Consider the following 19,994-nt stretch of genomic DNA (forward strand, 5'->3'; position numbering starts at 1 on the left):
ACCATTGAGGCAGTTTGATGGATGGGTTAGAAGATGGATTTTGGAGTCAGACAGATCTAGATTAGAATCTTATTCCATCACTTCCTAAATTTCCGTTGTTCTGGCAGCTCCCCACCTCCAGAACTTAAATGTCTCTGTTTCTTTCCTAAGGGCATTCACTGACATCACTGGAGACTGCTCAGCCACAAGTAGGTACAATTCAGAATCACTGGGTGGGTTAACACCCCTGGGGGAACTCTCAACCAATGAGGAATGGGAGTCAGTGGATACATGCTGCAGCCTCTCCATATTCCAGTGAGATGATTCTGAAGGTTTTTTTATTCCAAAAAATTTTGATTTCTCAAAGGATCCCCAGCAGAATTGAGCCTCTGTTGCCCAGAGCTCTAACCCACTCATTAACGCACTTATTCATTGGTTTTTGTCCCATCCCTATGTCACTATTACCAAGTTGCTTAATTTTCTTAAGCCTATGAAATTCAAATCACGCCGTCATCACAGAGTTGCTGTGAGGATGGAAAGAGCTCCTATGTGTAGAGTGGTCTGTACATAATAAGCATTCAAATAAGAACATGGTTATTATTGATTCCTTGTTTTCAGCGGTTAAGCTCCATCTCTGCAGTCCCAGTTCCTCCACTAGGTGGCAGAATATCAACATTCATTATCCATGGACGGCATGTCTCTTAGAGTAAGTAAAATAATTAGAGACTCTGAGGGACCATGGCCAGTGTGACATAAGAAGGGCAAGCCTATGATTAAAAACAACCCAAATAAAGAAAGTGGTGCCCTGAAATTCCAGCCTCAGTCAGATCATTGTCTGATTTACGGCTTTGAAAGGTAGAGACTGTTGGATGAATTCCCAAAGCAACATGGGGAACCTGTATGAGAGAAGCAGGTGGAGTCTGTTTACAAAAAATTACTGGGTGCCATTTTCCCATGCCTGGGGTAATCCCAAGTCATGGGAGATGGTGGGGGAATGGCAAAGAGCCAAGGAAAACCCAAACAATCACACAAACAAAGTAGAACTTGGAAAGGGTCAGTGTGATCCTGTGGTCAGTTTTGGGGCAAAAACCTTACAGGATTATTTGTTATTCCTTTTGGTAAGATGTTTGTATCACTGGACAAATCATACTAGCTGAGGATTCATCAACTCTCCGGTTAAAGAGTGGGAAGGACGGACCTTTATCCACTGGCTTCCATCCCTCCTTGGGTGAAGGTTTACCCTGGGGTATTAACTTCACCATACATGCAAGGAGTTAAGATGCAGGCATTTAAGGCAGGAAGCTATTGGCATGTTAGAAACTGTCTACCACACCTGCTGATGAATTAGGTGGGAAGATGAGATATGGGTTGGGGGCATCAACAATGACTGCTACAGCAGTGCTTTTCAGAATTTAGGGTATATGCAAATTACCTGAAGATCCTGTTAGGTTGTGGATTCTGATTCTATAGATTTGGGTGGTGACTAAGATTCTGCCTTTATAACAAGCTCCCAGATGATGGTGATGCTGCTGGTCCATGGACCATATTTTGAGAAGCAAGGGCTAAACTATTCTTTAAACCAGTCTTGCTATTTATTTTATCATCCCACATCATTGTTAACCCAAACAACACTGCAGGTACTAGGACCCTTGAGCTTTGGTCTTTCCCTCTCTGGACTTTCAAAATGGGGCGCTTGGCTTAGGTGAGCTATTCCTAATTGGGATAGTAGATGTTGGGAGGATAGGAGAGAGGAATTTTTAAAATGGCATTTCAATATTTAGAAAACACTAAGATTTTTTTTTAAGCTACAAAAAAGTAAAGTAGGAACAGATCTTCTGAGCTGGCCAAGATCCACAGAGGGCAACTCTAGTTTCACATCTCCTGGTTTCCTGAAGGTGACCTAGAGATTTTCATTTTTACATAAAGGAAGGTATTGGTTCTAAAAGGTTGAGAAAGACTGGATTTGAAAATCCATAAGACCTCATTCAGGTCTAATATCTTTACACTGCATTTTATATAACCTATTATATTGTTATATCAAATTGCCAACTAATGTCTGTCTTCCCCATTGGCCTAGAAGCTTCTCTAAACAGGGATTCATCTTCATCTCTATCACCCACTATAGTGCCTGGCACATAGTAGATGCTTAGTAAATCCTTGCATGTGTGCATGAGTCTATGGATTTCTTAGCTCTAAAAAAATTGTGATGCTACGCACGAGGTTGAGCTACACTCTGCCTTTTCAAAAATGTCTTTCTTTCTTTTTTTTTTTTTATTGATCATTCTTGGGTGTTTCTCGCAGAGGGGGATTTGGCAGGGTCATAGGACAATAGTGGAGGGAAGGTCAGCAGATAAACAAGTGAACAAAGGTCTCTGGTTTTCCTAGGCAGAGGACCCTGGGGCCTTCCACAGTGTTTGTGTCCCTGTGTACTTGAGATTAGGGAGTGGTGATGACTCTTAAGGAGCATGCTGCCTTCAAGCATCTGTTTAACAAAGCACATCTTACACCGCCCTTAATCCATTTAACCCTGAGTGGACACAGCACATGTTTCAGAGAGCACCGGGTTGGGGGTAAGGTCAAAGATCAACAGCATCCCAAGGCAGAAGAATTTTTCCCAGTATAGAACAAAATGGAGTCTCCTATGTCTACCTCTTTCCACACAGACACAGCAACAATCTGATTTCTCTATCTTTTCCCCACATTTCCCCCTTTTCTATTCGACAAAACCGCCATCGTCATCATGGCCCGTTCTCAATGAGCTGTTGGGTACACCTCCCACACGGGGTGGCCGCCGGGCAGAGGGGCTCCTCACTTCCCAGAAGGGGCGGCCGGGCAGAGGCGCCCCCCACCTCCCAGACGGGGCGGCGGCCGGGCGGAGGCGCCCCCCACCTCCCTCCCGGACGGGGCGGCTGGCCGGGCGGGGGCTGACCCCCCACCTCCCTCCCGGACGGGGCGGCTGCAGGTCGGAGGGGCTCCTCACTTCTCAGATGGGGCGGCCGGGCAGAGACGCTCCTCACCTCCCAGACGGGGTCGCGGCCGGGCAGAGGCGCTCCTCACATCCCAGACGGGGCGGCGGGGCAGAGGTGCTCCCCACATCTCAGACGATGGGTGGCCGGGCAGAGACGCTCCTCACTTCCCAGACGGGGTCGCTGCCAGGCAGAGGCGCTCCTCACATCCCAGACGGGGCGGCGGGGCAGAGGCGCTCCCCACATCTCAGACGATCGGTGGCCGGGCAGAGACGCTCCTCACTTCCTAGATGGGATGGCGACTGGGAAGAGGCGCTCCTCACTTCCCAGACTGCGCAGCCGGGCAGAGGGGCTCCTCACATCCCAGACGATGGGCAGCCAGGCAGAGACGCTCCTCACTTCCCAGACAGGGTGGCGGGCCGGGCAGAGGCTGCAATCTCAGCACTTTGGGAAGCCAAGGCAGGCGGCTGGGAGGTGGAGGTTGTAGCGAGCCAAGATCACGCCACTGCACTCCAGCCTGGGCAACATTGAGCACTGAGTGAATGAGACTCCATCTGCAATCCCGGCACCTCGGGAGGCCGAGGCTGGCAGATCACTCCCGGTTAGGAGCTGGAGACCAGCCCGGCCAACACAGTGAAACCCCGTCCCCACCAAAAAAATACGAAAACCAGTCAGGCGTGGCAGCGCGCACCTGCAATCGCAGGCACTCGGCAGGTTGAGGCAGGAGAATCAGGCAGGGAGGTTGCAGTGAGCAGAGATGGCGGCAGTACAGTCCTGCTTCCACTCGGCATCAGAGGGAGACCGTGGAAAGAGAGGGAGAGGGAGAGGGAGAGGGAGAGGGTCAAAAATGTCTTTCAAGATATTTTTTGATCTATATGGTACTAACCCCTTTGAGGTTTTATTGTAATGGAATTCTAGCCATATACAACTCTATGTCCAGAATTTAATAACCCTATTAATTAATGAGAGCTGCTCCAGGGCAAGTACCATTTAGTGACATCTAAATGACTATTCTTTGGCAGAAGAAATGGTTGAAAATGGTGCTTTAGGCTGGGTGCGATGGCTCACCCCTGTAATCCCAGCACTTTGGGAGGCCAAGGTGGGTGGATTGCCTGAGCTCAGGAGCTTGAGACCAGCCTGGGCAATATGGTGAAACCCCATCTCTATAAAAAATGCAAAAATTTGCTGGGCATGGTGGTGCATGCCTGTAATCCCAGCTACCTGGGGGGTGGGGCGGCTGAGGTAGGAGGATCACTGGAGTCCAGGAGGTTGAGGCTGCAGTGAGCCAAGATCGTGCCACTGCACTCCAGCCTGGGTGACAGAGTGGGACCCTGTCTCAAAAAATACATAAATGAGAAAGGAAAGAAAGGAAAAAGAAAGAAAATGGTGCCTTGGAGTAAGAAACATCTGCCCTGGTTTGCCATGGAAGAGGAGTCTGTGGAGTATATTTGGATGGGCTTTGCCTGATTGAGCTTGCCAGGGAGAGGCGGAGGCACCACTAATTACATGTCTTGCATTATGGGTTGAAAGTAGATACACAGAGCAAATGCTCTGGCCCACAAAGCCCCAAAATGCGATGAAAGCAACGTAGACTTCAAGTTCATTTTCAAAATTCCCAGCAATGCAGAGCAGAGCCAGCTATATGATTTTTCCTCTTGTTTTCACGTGGCACTTAAGACACAAAAGAATAAACCAACTGAAGATCTGAAAATCAACTTGCAAATCCAGAAAAAAAAGTGGCAAAAAATTATAGAAAGTGACTATGTTAACATGTAATTTTTATTAATTAGTAACTCTCTTGAGCCCTTGCTGTCCTTGAACTAGGTCAGCACCATTGCTTTGCTTGACTTTATGCAAACTTGATTACACTCAGTTAAAAATTGCTCTTCTCCAGGTAGGTCTCAGTTATATGACAGCCAAAGGGATCTTCCTAAAGGGAACTTGGGAGGCTGAGGCAGGAGAATCACCTGAGCCTGGGAGGTCGAGGCTGCAGTAAGCTGTGATCACGCCACTGCATTCCAGCCTGGGTGACAGAGTGAGACTCTGTCTCAAATAAGAATAATAGTAATAATAATAATAGAAAGAAAGGAAGAAAAGTGGTAGAAGCAGCAGGCACAATGAGAAACCCAAATGGGCAGTGAATGGGTTAAGTGAGCAGCCCTGCCTTGAGGTTCAAAAGAGAAACTCTATAATTACAGAATGGGGAGGCCAGCTTAGCAGCAGCCCATAAAAGTAAAAGCTAAGAGGGTTCAGACAATCTCAAGAAGCCAACAATGAAATGCAGGTGCCCAATGGCTAAATATCTGCCCAGTGGCAGAAGTAGTTGGACTACATTTCCCAGCCTCCCTAGCAGTTGGATGTGGCCATGTGACTGAGTTCTGGCCAACAGAATGTGAGCAGAAGTGAGGTCTTCTATTTCCAGATCTGGTCCATAAATATTGTCCACACATGCTCCTGTATATTTTTTCCCTTTTTATCTTTGTTGTTGTTGTTGAGACAGAGTCTTGCTCTGTCACCCAGGCTGGAGTGCGGTGGCACAATCTTGGCTCACTGCAATCTCCACCTCCCGAGTTCAAGCGATTCTCCTGCCTAAGCCTCCAAAGTAGCTGTGATTACAGGTGCACACTACCACCCCCGACTAATTTTTGTATTTTTAGTAGAGACGGGGTTTCACCATATTGGCCAGGCTGGTCTTGAACTCCTGGCCTCAAGTGATCCACCCGCCTTGGCTTCCCAAAGTGCTGGGATTACAGGCATGAACCACCTCACCTGGCTCTCCCTTTCTATCTTGATACAAATAAAACAGGTGACTTGGGAAGTTGTGTGTTGGATATAACAGAGCCACAAGATGGAAGAAGCCTGAGTCACTGAGTCACTGCTTGGAGTAGAGCTGCTTGACAATCAGAAGTTTATGTGAGAGAGAAATAAACCTTTATTAAGGTGTTGAGATATTGTGGTTTATCTGTTTCATTATTTAATTAAATATATAGTCATTAGCTGTATTAATAGAGGGATTGTAGGAAGAGCAAAGGAGGGTGCAGTTTTGCTATTCTGTAGGCGGGATTTGGTCAAACATGCACATAAATGAAAGACAAGAGTGATAAGGAAGTGGGAAATGATCTACTGGGGAGTATAAAAGAAAGGGGCTTCAGCCTAAAGAAAACTTTGGGGTAGAATAATAAGGGCGTATAATATCTATCTTTAAAGTTTTAGAAGTATGTCACAAGGAAGAGGGTTTAGCGTTACGCTGAGGCGTTCCAGAGAGCAGTGCTAGGAGCAAGATTTGGGCTCAATATAAAGAACTTTCCAGCTGGGCGCGGTGGCTCATGCCTGTAATCTCAGCACTTTGGGAGACCAAGGCGGGAGGATCATTGGAGGTCAAGAGTTCGCACCAGCCTGACCAACATGGTGAAACCCCCACTCTACCAAAAATACAAAAACATTAGCCGGGCGTGGTGGCGCATCCCTATAGTCCCAGCTACTCTGGAGGCTGAGGCAGGAGAATCGCTTGAACCCGGGAGGCGGAGATTGTAGTGAGCTGAGATTGCACCACTGCACTCCAGCCTAGACAACGGAGTGAGACTCCATCTCAGATAAAAAAAAAAAAAAAAAAAGAAAAGAACTTTCCAATAATTAGCACTTCCCCAAAGTGAACTGGCCTTTCTTAAAGCCTTCTTCTGTTGATTAACCATTCAGCATCCATTTACCCCTTCTTCTCTGACTACAGAAACCCAATTTTGTTGAAGTATTGTCCTCATGTGATTATGGGAGAGGGAACTCTATGCCCAGTTCTAGGGATGGATCCTGATTAGTCCAAGCCATTCAGCACATGGCATTCTCTTAGTGGCTCTTGCTGGTCCAAAGGTTGGTACATACCCTAAGCCAACCCAATCAGACTTAAAGGAAGGTCTTGTATTTCATGGTTAGGAGAGAGGGTTTCCCCCTTTCCTGCTGGACATTCATCAGAACTCATTAGTCTTAACTGTCACTGACAGCCATCTTGTGGCCAAGAGGGAAACCAGCTTTAGGATGAAACCAGCACTGAGGATGGCAGAGCAGAGAGATGAAAAGGACCTGTCCATTAAGCTGCTGATCATCCTGAGCCTGAAGGCTCTTCTACCCTTCGATTTCATTTTGAGTTGGAGTTTCCATTATTTCTAGTTTGAAACATCCTAACTGATACATGGATCCTGAAGAGGTTGAGGAATACAGGTTGAATATTGCCTTGTTATCAGAACTGCTGGAGGGTTATTCTACCCTGGGCAAGTAGGCAGGCCTCTCAGGGTACATCCAACTCTGAGACTCATAAACTCTGGTAAAGGACTTACAGCTAACTTCATTTAAATTAAAACATAGGCTTCCTTACAAGTGTCTGGAAATCCATTTTGTTACAATCATGTGTTGGATTTTGGCAGTTACACGTCTGACCTACTCCCTTCCTGCCTCCATTTCCCTTTGTAGGAAGTTTCCTGTAACAGAGACAATTCTTTGTCCACTGAAGATTTGAACTTCCAGAGTATAGATTTATTTATTTATTCATTTATTTATTTATTTAGAGACAGAGTCTTCCTCTGTCACCCAGGCTAGAGTGTAGTGGCGCGATCTCAGCTCACTGCAACCTCCGCCTCCCAGGTTGAAGCAATTCTCCTGCCTCAGCCTCCTGAGTAGCTGGGATTATAGGTGCCCGCCACCATGCCCAGCTAATTTTTGTATTTTTAATAGAGACGGGGTTTCACCATCTTGGCAAGGCTGGTCTCTAACTCCTGACCTCGTGATCCACCTGCCTTGGCCTCCCAAAGTGCTGGGATTATAGGCATGAGCCACCACACCTGGCCACAGAGTGTAGAATTATTGATGTAAGCAGCTGCTTACTAGGAATTACATTTCCTAAGTCTCCTTACATGTAGTTGAGGCCAGAGACTTGTTCTCCCCAGTGGAACGGTAGCAATAGTGATATATATCACATCTGGGTCAAGAAACTTAAGCAGTGAGTGTACATTCATTGTCTTTGTTCATTCTCCAGTTGAACACAAAGGACTCTAAAGCCCAAGAGGAGGGTGGAGCCACAATATGAAAGCAATCTGGGTAGTGAATACTCATGTGGAAGGTTGACCACCAACCAGAAATACTCGTGTGTGTTATACAGTTACATGACTGAGGAATGCACTTTCACTGTGTTAAGCTGTTAAACTTTGGGGTTCGTTTGTTGCTGCAGTTAGCATTGCCCTAACTGATACACCTCCATTGTGCGTGGTCTCAGTAGGAGGGCCATAGCCATCTCGGCCACCTGCTCATGCTCTCATTACAGAAGCTGAGGGGGTCCAGCCTGGTTCAGCTGCTCCCTGGTTCAGCCTACATTAAATAGGCAATTAGACACTTGCTCCTGGGATACTGAGTCTCAAATAAGGGACACAAAGATGCAGGGAAAGTTAAGAATCAGACATCTAACAGTGGTAAGAGAAACTTGAGGAAAATATGGTGCTTATGGGCAATTGAGCTTTGGCTGAGGTTTCTACTACTTCAGGAGCACACTTGGGTCCTGCTGGTTGTCCAAGCATTGTCCTCCAGCTTCTCATTGATTCTGTTAGCTCCTGATAGCCAGCTAATTAATTCCCCCTTTGCTGAAAATAATCAGAATTCTTTTCTTGCTTGTAATCACTTGGGGGTGCATAATAAGTGAAGGCTTTCCCTTACAAAATTCTGTATTTATCTCAGCATTTAACTCTGCCCTACCATCTTAGATTCATGATCTAACAGCAGTTGAGGTTGGCACCTCTCAATTTCCTCCTTTCATTGACTGCCTATCCAGATAATCAAGTCATTATTTATTTTTTTCCTTTTGTTGATAGTTTGGTCTCTGTCCCAGCTTTCAGCAATTATTTTCCTCTCTTGCCGTACTTACAGATTGTCCTCACCTACGCATTTTTATGACATTTCTACTTGTTAACCATTTCTAGTATTGAGTTGTACCATCCAATTAGCAATCTGTAACATTTTTCTGATGGTAGACGGGCATAGTTGGCAGAGAAAGCACTGAACCCATTGTCCTAGACACCTGTTTCTGTTACTTACAAGATATGTGACCTTGGGCAAATCATTGAACTTGTCTGTTCCAGAGACTTGTTTTGCAAAGTATTAGAATAAAAGACTATACGAAAATCTCAGGATCAGTTACAATGAGAACAGTTAATTAAAAGCCAAATAGCTAGAGAAATACAGTTGGAGAGAAGGTAGGAAAGTATGAAGGCAGGAAATCTACGACCTTGCCTGCGAAGTCAGGAGGTGAGAGGTAGGAATCAAGGAGGGGCTATTCATTGGTACATGCACACTGCCATCAGCTGATGGGAACTACACAATCATGTTTTTCTTTTTCAGCTGACTTTATACTTTCGGTTCATCCTTAAATACCACTCCTGAAGAGAATCCAAGATGAGCAGTGGCCCCGCTTCAACATTTTATCCACTCCTTACACATAGTGAATACAAGACAAATTTGATACCCCACAGCTATCTTTTACATCATTCAATTTAATTTCTCAATTACAAATTCTTTTGCAACATCTCTGATTAGCTGTTCATATTTGGAACTGAACTGCATTAAAAACTCCATCTCTGCCTCCCAAGGTGTACTGGGGACAAGATTTGGTTCCTTCTAACACTAGGCCTCAGTTTCCTCATCTGCAAAATGGGGTAGCTAAACTGAAGCCCCTAGGGTTCAGTCTCAGGTCCCAGTGCACTGTGGTGCTGGAACACAATCTTGTGACTCCTGAACATCTGTTTAGACTCCGGATGGAGTTAGCTCAGCCTCCTCTGCCTTGTGTTTTAGATGAGCCATCTATGCAGATGTTTTGTACACTGGGTACATGATTTCAACAACTTGACCACAGACAGGGCTTCCTTCATGACTTCCCATGCGTTGAGGCCTCTCTTTGTCATCCACTGTCCAGCCTGCCTTTGTCTTCTCACTGTTCTTTCTCTTCAGCTACCTCATGTACACGTCTGCCCTTTCCCTTTACTTCCTCAAAGCAAAGGATGAACTACCTGGAGTTTTTCCTCTTGTTGAATACCTTCTCTTCCCTTCACTGGGGTGGAGATTGTTGTCATGGTAACCTACAGCCAAAGGTTCTAAGGTCAACACTAAATCCAGCCCAATGGACTCATATACATGGCTGCAGAAGGTCAGGACAGAATGTTTCTCCAAAACTGAAGATTTGATAATAAAAAACACAGTATTTAGCTGCTCTGACAACTTTTCATAAAATTTTCCCTCTTTTCTTTAGGAGTCACTTGACAAATAAGAGAGGACGGGGGCCAATTTAGTTCAATTTGCTAATCTTTTTGAATGTTTTTATAGATAGATGCATTCATCTCAAACCATCTTTTGCCTTTGAAAAAATTGTCTTCTCCTCTAAAGCATATTCTCTTGAACTTTACCCAAGAGGAAAAAAGAAATGCAGGAAACATGAGCTTAAATAACTAATAATATTCAGATAATATTCATCAGATATTATTCAAATAAATATTTTGAGCAGTATCCTCTCCCAGCCACACCTATATACGCATACCTACACCCTTTTCTAACTATCTCCCATATAACCAGATGAAACTTGAAGAAAAAAAAGTAATGACTCCACAGAGTTTGGAAAATGCTGGGCTAGCTCTGCCTTTCTGGTTATTCCACATAGGTCCAAGGCCAATTATAGAAGCAGTTGGTTAAGGAAAATATGGTGCCATGGGGAGTTGGAGGGTTATAGAATGCCTGAGCCAGGCAAATTCTTTTCAAGTGGAGCTTACAATAATTGAAAATAAGGAGGCTTAGAATGTAGGAATTCCAGCATTTTAGGTGCCATCATGAAACATTAGGAGCAGCCAGGGCCCCAAGATTCAGGCGAGCTCTCCGTTTGAGGCTTGGAATAAAAGGCATGTTGCTAACTGTGACGAAGCTGAAAGGATCCACGCACAGCCTAGGAGCAGAAAGGATCTGCCCCTAGGCTGTCAGACTGTATTTGTGTCTGTCTGAACTGTTCTGAAAAGATCCTCCTTTCCTGAATCACTAAGACCCCCAGACAATAGAGGAACGGAGTGGCAGCGCTCCCTGTGCTAAGCAACAGATTGGAGATGTGGGAGTGGGAGTGGGAGCTTTTATCTTGGCTCTGTTACTTACAGCCACCACTGAACCCAAGGCTAATGGCCTCAGCTTCCTTGGCTACTCGGGTGGAGGTAGTCCAAGACAGTAAGTCACAATGCGATACGCTGCCCCCTCCAGTTTAAGCTACTATCATTTCACACTGGGGTTTTAGCAGCAGCCTTTCACTTGGTCTCCTTGCTTCCACTCTTACCTCCCTATAGCCTACTGTCTACCCACACCAAAGCCAGAGTGATCCTCACAAAATACAAGTCAAATTATGTCCCTCCTCTGTTCAAACCCCTCCGATGGCTTCCTAGTATTCTTACTATAACTTACAAGGTCCTACACAATCTGCCCCACACCCCCATTACTTCTCTAACCTCATGAACGATTACCTTCTCCCTCTGTTACTTTGTTCCAAACATACTGGCATTCTTACTTGAACTTTCAATTCATGCTTCAGAGCTTCTGCAATTGCTGTTTCCTCTGCCTTGAATGGTCTTTCAGCAACTACCTGTATTACTTGTTGCTTCACCTACTTCAGATCTTTTCTCAGAGGCTGTCTTCCAAATGAGGCCTTCTCTTATCACCTTATTTAAAATTGTACCTGAGTGATGTCACCAACATGGTGGAATAGGAAGCTCCTAACTCTCCCTCCACCAGTGGACACACCAAATAAACATCTATCCACGGATCAATTCCCTCTGAGAGAAAGTCAGAGACTGGTCAAGAGACTCCTACCCACAAGGCAACTGAGAAAACATTCACCTCAAATGATACGCTTGGGTATGGACACCACCTCAGGCACTGTGCCAAAAAATTGGGAAAGGAATCCCCAACACCCAGTTTCTTCCTGTGGAGAGGAGGATCTGGATCTCACATATAGGACCCAAACCCTAAGTTTCCCCATGGTTTGACTCTTAATTCACCAACTACAAAAGCAGGGGGGATTAGACACACTGATGTCCCCTAGACCATAACAAAAAAAAGTGGTGAGTTTATAATGGTGCACGAGCACTTCCAGGGCCTTCATCCCCCTGGGAACAGTGCAAAGAAGGGGCTTAAAAAAACATAGCCATCTGTTTGGGTTTGAAAAACATCCCTCCAGCAGCTGCCTGGCAGCCTGGCTTCTAACTTGCATCAGGAAGTTAAAGAGACAGTCAAGTATTAACCTGCTGCCAGCCTTGGAAGAGTTTGCACTCACATCAAGCACCCCAACTCTTACAACGTCTACCTAAGAGATTGCATACTAAATCTCCTAGCTCTGGGAGCAGAAGGAACTAGCATACATGTGTCTCTCTAGACTGCAGGAAGAGGAGCAGTGGCTTTATGCCAGCCTGCAAGCTTTTTAAGGGACTCCATCCCCCCTAGGATCAATACTGAGAAGGGGCCTGTTTCTCTCCAGAAGGGGTTTATAAAGCATCCCTCCAGTAGTTAACTGGTGGTCTGACTTCTAACTAACTTACATTGGGGAGTTAAAGGGACAGTCAATAACCCACCAGCAGCCTAGGAGGAATTTGCACTCAAAATAAAAGCCCCAACTCTTACCTGCATTTATAATAAATCTCCTAGCTCTGAGAGCAGAAAGGACCAGCATACATATTTATCTCTAGGTCACAGGAAAAAAAGCATTTTTAAACAGGTATGCAAGTACCTTCAGGGAATTTATCCCCCTGGAGTGATGTAGAGAAGGGGCCTCCAAAAACACAACCCCTTGTTTCTCCCCAGTAAGGGTTTATGACACACATCAGGAGCCCCAGTTTTCAAAGCTGCCTCCTGAAGGACTCTATCGTCAACTTAGTAGCTCTGGGAACAGAAGGGACTAGGCATATGCAGGTCTCCCTTGATCCAAGAACAAAGAGATGGTTTTAAAGGGCAATCCAAACATTCCCAGGGACTACATCTCCTTGGAGCAGTGCAGGAAAGGAGCAGGAATGTGCAGCTCTCACTTTCTTTCCAGAAGGGGCTTATGACACACACTTCCAGTGGCTACTTGATGAGTTGGTCTCCAATGAACTTGCATTGGGGAATTAACAAGGTAAACAAACAATAGCCCTTTGGTAGCCAGAGCCAGAGCTCCACACTTCATGGGACCTCCACCTGGATCACCTCAGAGATAAATCCAGGCCTATCTATTCTTTTTTGGAAGGAATTTGGCTATGCTCAGAGTGTCATGACCTAGCTCTGGAAGTCAAGTGGGCTTTGTGATCCTGAGTGACCCAAGACCATAGAAGACAAAGAGGTGGAATATAACAAGTTCACACCCAGTAGCTAGTCCTCCAGGATGAGAAGGTGCAGGCTGAAAGTGAGTCCAAGTATTTACCACAGATCTTCTCCCTAGCTTAGTGCAGAGAGAGTTGGAGATAAACACTCACATCCAGCCTCATCATAAAGATAGAAAAAAATGAACACTTCCAACACCCCAACCTTTCCAGTTACATTTAAATACCCTGGATCCTATCATACCAGTCTTGGGGTACTGACAAGACGTGGCACATCCTAGGCTCCAGGGGACCACCATAAACAGAGATGGTAGTCTGGACAAACACAAAAATTAGAGAGGTGTCTTAAAATTTCTGGCCAGATGGATTGGTGAAAACCTTCTCCTACACAAGGCTAGTCTAACAAGACAGAGAGAAGTAAGTGGCTTATAAAATGCACAGAAACCAACACAGAGAATCAAGGAAAATGAAGAAACGGGGAATATATTCCAAACAAAAGAACAAGATAAATTTCCAGAAAGCAGCCTGAATGAAATGGAGTTCTGCGATTTACCCAATAGGGAATTCAAAGTAATGGTCATAAAGATGCTTAGAAAAGACAAGAGAGCAATGTAAGAACAAGCTGGGAACTTCAATGAAGAGATAGAAAGTATACAAAAGTACTAAACAGAAATCATAAATCTGAAGATGCTATGACTGAACTGAAAAATTCAATAGAGGAGTTCAACAACAGAGTAGATCAAGCAGAAGAAAGGATCAGTGAACTTGAAGACAGGTCACTGGAAATCATCCAGTCTGAGGAGCAAAAAGAAAAAAGAATGAAAAAGAGTGATGATAGCTTAAGAGACCAATGGGACACCATCAAGTGGGGCAACTTATGCATTATCAGTGTACCAGAAGGAGAAGAAATGGAGAAAAGGACAGAAAACATATTCAAAGAAATAGTGCCAGAAAACTTCCCAAGTCTATGGAATGAATGAAAAGCCAGATCCAGGAAGCCTGTAGGACATCAAATAAGATGAATCCAAAGAGAGCCACACCACAACACATCATAGGCAGATTGTCCAATTTAAAGACAGAAAGTATTGAAAGCAGCAAGAGAAAAGAATTGTCATATATAGTAGAACCCCCATAAAGCCACAAGAAGACTTCTCAACAGAAACCTTGCAAGCCAGAAGGGAGTGGGATAATATATTCAAAATCCTAAAAGAAAAAGACTGTTAACCAAAAATATTATACCTAAGAATCCTGTCTTTCAAAAACAAAAGGGTGATAAAGATTTTCTCAGACAAACAAAAGTTGAGCGGATGTTTCACCACTAGACATGCATTGCAAAAAATGCTAAAGGAGGTTCTTCAAGCTGAAGGAAGAGGACACTAATTAGTGACATAAAATTACATGAAAGTATAAAACTCACTGGTAAAATAAGTACATTGTCAAACCCAAAACACTCTAATACTGTAATGGTGGTGTGTAAATCCATTGTATCTCTAGTATAAAGGTCAAAAGGCAAAACTAGTAAAAACAACTAAAGTTACAATAATTTGCTAAGGGATACATACTATTAAAAGATGTAAACTGTGACATAAAAACATAAAATGTGGGAGGAGGGGGTGTAAAAGTGGAGAGTTTGTGTATGCAATCAAAATTATGCTATCAGAGTAAATTAATCCATTATAAGATGTTTTATGTAAGCCTCAGGGTAGCCACAAACCAAAAAACTTGTAGTAGATCCACAAAAGATAAAAAGAAAAGAACCAAAGCATACCACCACAGAAAGCCATCCAATCACAGAGGAAGAAAGCAAGAGACGAAGAAGAGAACAAAAGATCTAAAAAACAACTATAAAACAGTTAACAAAATGGCAGGAGTAAGGCAGTACCTATCAATAATAACCTTGAATGTAAATGTATTAAATTCTCCAATTAAAAGATATAGAGTGGCTGAATGAATTAAAAAAAAAAACTGGCTGGGCATGGTGGCTTATGTCTGTAATCTCAGCACTTTGGGAGGCCAAGGTGAGTGGATCACTTGAGGCTGAGTTCAAGACCAGCCTGGCCAACATGGTGAAACCCCATCTCTACTAAAAATATGAAAATTAGCCAGGTGTGGTGGTGCACACCTGTAGTCCCAGCTACTTGGGAGTCTGAGACAGGAGAATCACTTGAACCTGGGAGGCGGAGGTTGCAGTGAGTTCAGACTGCACCACTGCACTCCAGCCTGGGCAACAGAGTGAGACTCCATCTTAAAAAACAAACAAACAAACAAAACACTATATGTAGCCTACAATACTCACCTCACCTTAAGGATATGCATAGACTAAAAGTGAAGGGATGGAAAAAGGATATTTTATGCAAATGGAAATCAAAAGAGAGCAGGGGTAGCTATGCTTAAGTCAAAAATTGTAAAAAGAGACAAATAAGGTCATTATAAATAATAAAGACATCAATTCAGCAAGAGGATATAACAACTGTAAATATATATGCAATCAATACTGGAGCACCCAGATATATAAAGCAAATATTAATAGATCTAAAGGGAGAGATTTACAACAATACAGTAATAGTAGGGGACTTCAACACCCCACTTTCAGCAATGTACAGATCATTCAGACAGAAAATCAACAAAGAAACATCGGAGTTCAACTGCACCCCAGACCAAATGGACCTATCTGACATTTAGAGAACATTTCATTCAACAGGTGCAGAATAGACATTATTCTCATTGGCACATGGAACATTCTTCAGGATGGACGATATGTTAGGCCACAAAACAGCCTTAACAAATTTTTAAAAATTGAAATCATATCAAGTATCTTTTCTGATCACAATGGAATAAAACTAAAAATCAATAACAGGAGGAACTTTGGAAACTGAACAAATTCATGGAAATTAAGCAACATGCTCCTGAACGACCAATGTTGAATGGAGAAATTAAGAAGGAAATTAAAACATTTTTTTGAACAAACAAAAATGGAAAAACAACATACAAAAACCTATGGGATATAGCAAAAACAGTACTAAGAGAGAGCTTATAGCAATAAATGCCTACCTCCAAAAAGTAGAGTGATTTTAAATAAACAACCTAATTATGCACTCAAGGAACTAGAAAAGCAAGAATAAACCAAACTGAAAATTAGCAGAAGGCAAGAAATAATAATGATCAGAGAAGAAATAACTGAAATTGAGACTTAAAAATAAAAAAATTAACAAAACAAAGAGTTAGTTTTTTGAAAAGATAAACAAAATTGACAAACCTTTAGCTGAACTAGAAAAAAAGAAGACCCAAATAAATCAGAGATGAAAAAGGAGACATTACAACTAATGCTAAAGATATATGAAGAATCATTTGAGACTATTATGAACCACTGACTACACATCAACAAACTGGAAAATCTAGAAGAAACAGATAAATTTATAAACATATACAACCTAACAAGTTTGAATGATGAAGAAATAGAAAATCTGAAAAGAACAATAATGAGTAATGAGGTTGAGTCAATGATAAAAAGTCTCCCAACAAAGGAAAGCCCAGGACTGGATAGCTTTACTGCTGAATTCTACTGAAGACGAACACCAATTCTTCTCAAACTATTCAAAAAAAAAAAAAAAAGAAGGGGATGGGAGTTTTGCAAACTTATTCTTTGAGGCCAGAATTATCCTGATATCAAAACCAGACATGGATGCAACAACAACAAATACAACTAAAGGACATTATCCTTGATGAACATAGATGTAAAAATCCCCAACAAAATAATAGCAAATGAAATCCAATAGCACACCAAAGAATACTATACACCATGATCAAATGGGATTTATCCCAGGGATGCAAACGTGATTCAATATATGCAAATCAATACACATAATACATTACATTAACTAATGAAAAGACAAAACCATATGATCATCTCAGTAGGTGCAGAAAAAGAATTTGATAAAATTCAACATCCCTTCATAATAAAAAAACCCTTTCAAATTAAATATAGAATGTACTTCAAAACAATAAAGGCCAAATATGACAAACCCACAGCTAACATCATACCGAATAGGGAAAAGTGGAAAGCCTTTCCTCTAAGATCCGGAACAATACAAAGATGCCCATTTTCAGCACTTTTTTCAACACAGTACAAAGCAAGAGAGGAAGTTTTAGCCAGAGCAGTTAGGCAAGAGAAAGAAATAAAGGGCATCCAAATTGGAAAGGAGAAAGTCAAACTGTCACTGTTTACAGATAACATAATCTTATATTGAGGAAAACCTAAAGACTACACTAAAAGACTGTTAGAGCTGATAAATAAATTCAGTAAATTTGCAAGATAAAAAAATCAACTTACAAACATCTATAGAAACAGTGATATTACTATAGAAACATTGTTTCTATACACCAATAATGAACAATATGAAAAGAAATCAAGAAAGCAATCCCATTTACAATAGCTACAAAAAAATAAAATACCTAAGAATAAACTTAATGAGGTAAAAGATCTCTACAATGAAAACTATAAAACACTGATGAAAGAATCGAACAGGGTACACATTAAAAAATGGAAAGATATCTCATGATCATGGATTGTAAGAGTTAATATTGTTAAGATGTCCATACTACCCAAAGTGATCTACAGATTCAATTCAATCCCTGTCAAAATTCCAATAACATTTTTGACAGAAATAGAAAAAACAATCCTAAAATTCAGATGGCAACCACAAAAGACCCTGAACAGCCAAAGCAATCCTGAGTAAACAGAACATAGCTGATAGCATCCCCCTATCTGACTGCAAGATATACTACAAAGCTATAGTAACCAAAACAACATGGTACTTGCATAAAAACAGATACATAGACCAATGGACCAGAGGAGAAAACCCAGAAATGAATCTATATCTTTATAGCCAACTGACTTTTGACAAACGTGCCAAGAACATACATTGGAGAAAGAACACCCTCTTCAATAAATAGTGCTGGGAAAATTGGATATCCATATGCAGAAGAATGAAACTAGACCCCTATCTCTCACCATATACAAAAATTAATTCAAGATAGATAAAAGATTAAATGTAAGACCAAAGCCTATAAAACTACTGGAAGAAAACACAGGGGATATGCTTCAGGACATTGGTCTGAGCAAAGATTTTTTGGATGAGACCTCAAAAAGCACAGGCCATAAAATAAAAAATAGACAAATGGGATGATATCCAACCTAAAAGCTTCTGCACAACAAAGGAAACACCAAAATAAAGAGAACCTAGAGAATGGGAGAAAATATTTGCAAACAGTTCAACTGACAAAGAACTAATATCCAAAATATATAAGGAACTCAAACAACTCAATAGGAAAACAAACAAACAAAAAACCAAATAATCTGATTTAAAAATCGACAAACGTTCTGAATAGACATTTCTCAAAAGAGGACATACAAATGGCTAACAGGTATATGAAAAATTGCTCAATATCACTAGTCATCAGGGAAATGCAAATAAAAACCACAATGAAGTTTCATCTCACCCCAAGTACTGGTGAGGAAGTAGAGAAAGGGAAATTCTTATGCACTCTTGATGGGAATGTAAATTGGTACAGCCTTTATGGAAAACAGTATGGAGGGTCCTCAAAAAATTAAAAATAGAAATACCATATGATGTAGCAATCCTACCATGGAGTATATATCAAAAGAAAGAAAATCAGCACACTGAAGAGATATCTGCACTCCCATGTTTATTGCAGCACTATTCACAGTAGCCAAGATATTAAATCAATCTAAGTGACTATTGTCAGATAAATTAATAAGGAAAATGTGATACATATAGAAAATGGAATATTATTTGGCCATAAAGAATGAAATTCTGTCATTTGTGGCAACATGGATGAGCCTGGAGGCCATTATGTTAAGTGAAATTAGCCAGGCACAGAAAGACAAATAACCACATGTTCTCATTTATATGTGGGAGTTAAAAAAATTGATCCCATGGAAGGAGATAATAGAATAGTAGTTATCAGAGTTTTGGAAGGGGAAGGGTACAGGGGCTAGGGAGAAGCTGGTTAATAACACAAAATTACAACTATATAGGAGGAATAAGTTTTTTTAAATTCAAATTTTCAGAGGCTTTATTCTATTTTTTAGTTTTACTTTTAAAAAGGTTTTTAAAATTTTCAGTAGATTTATGGGGAACAGGTGGTGTTTGGTTTCATGAATAAGTTTTTTAGTGGTGATTTCTGAGACTTTGTTGCACCCATCACCCAAGCAGTGTACACTGTACCCAATGTAGATAGGAGGAATAAGTTCTAATGTTCTATATAACACAGTAGGGTGGCTATAGTTAACAATAATTTATTGTATCTTTCAAAACAGCTAGAAGAAAGGATTTTGAATATTCCCAACACAAAGAAATGATAAATATTTGAGGTGATGGATGTGCCAATTACTCTGATTCGATCATTACACATTGTATACATGTATGGAAATATCACAAGTACTCCATAAATATGTACAATTATGTATCAACTTAAAAGTTTAAAATAAAATAAAATTACATCTATTCTGTGTTAGTCAGCTATTACCAGAACGAGGCAGCATAACAAAACATGCCCAAACTCAGTGGTTAACAAGCATTTATTTCCATACTCATGAGTTCATCTGAGACTTGATTCATTTAGGATGGGCCTTGCTTGGGCTTAGCTCTGCTTTAGGCTGTGGGTTCGGTTTAGGTCT

This window comes from Homo sapiens, chromosome X (genome assembly GCF_000001405.40).
Source record: "Homo sapiens chromosome X, GRCh38.p14 Primary Assembly".
Classification (NCBI taxonomy): domain Eukaryota; kingdom Metazoa; phylum Chordata; class Mammalia; order Primates; family Hominidae; genus Homo; species Homo sapiens.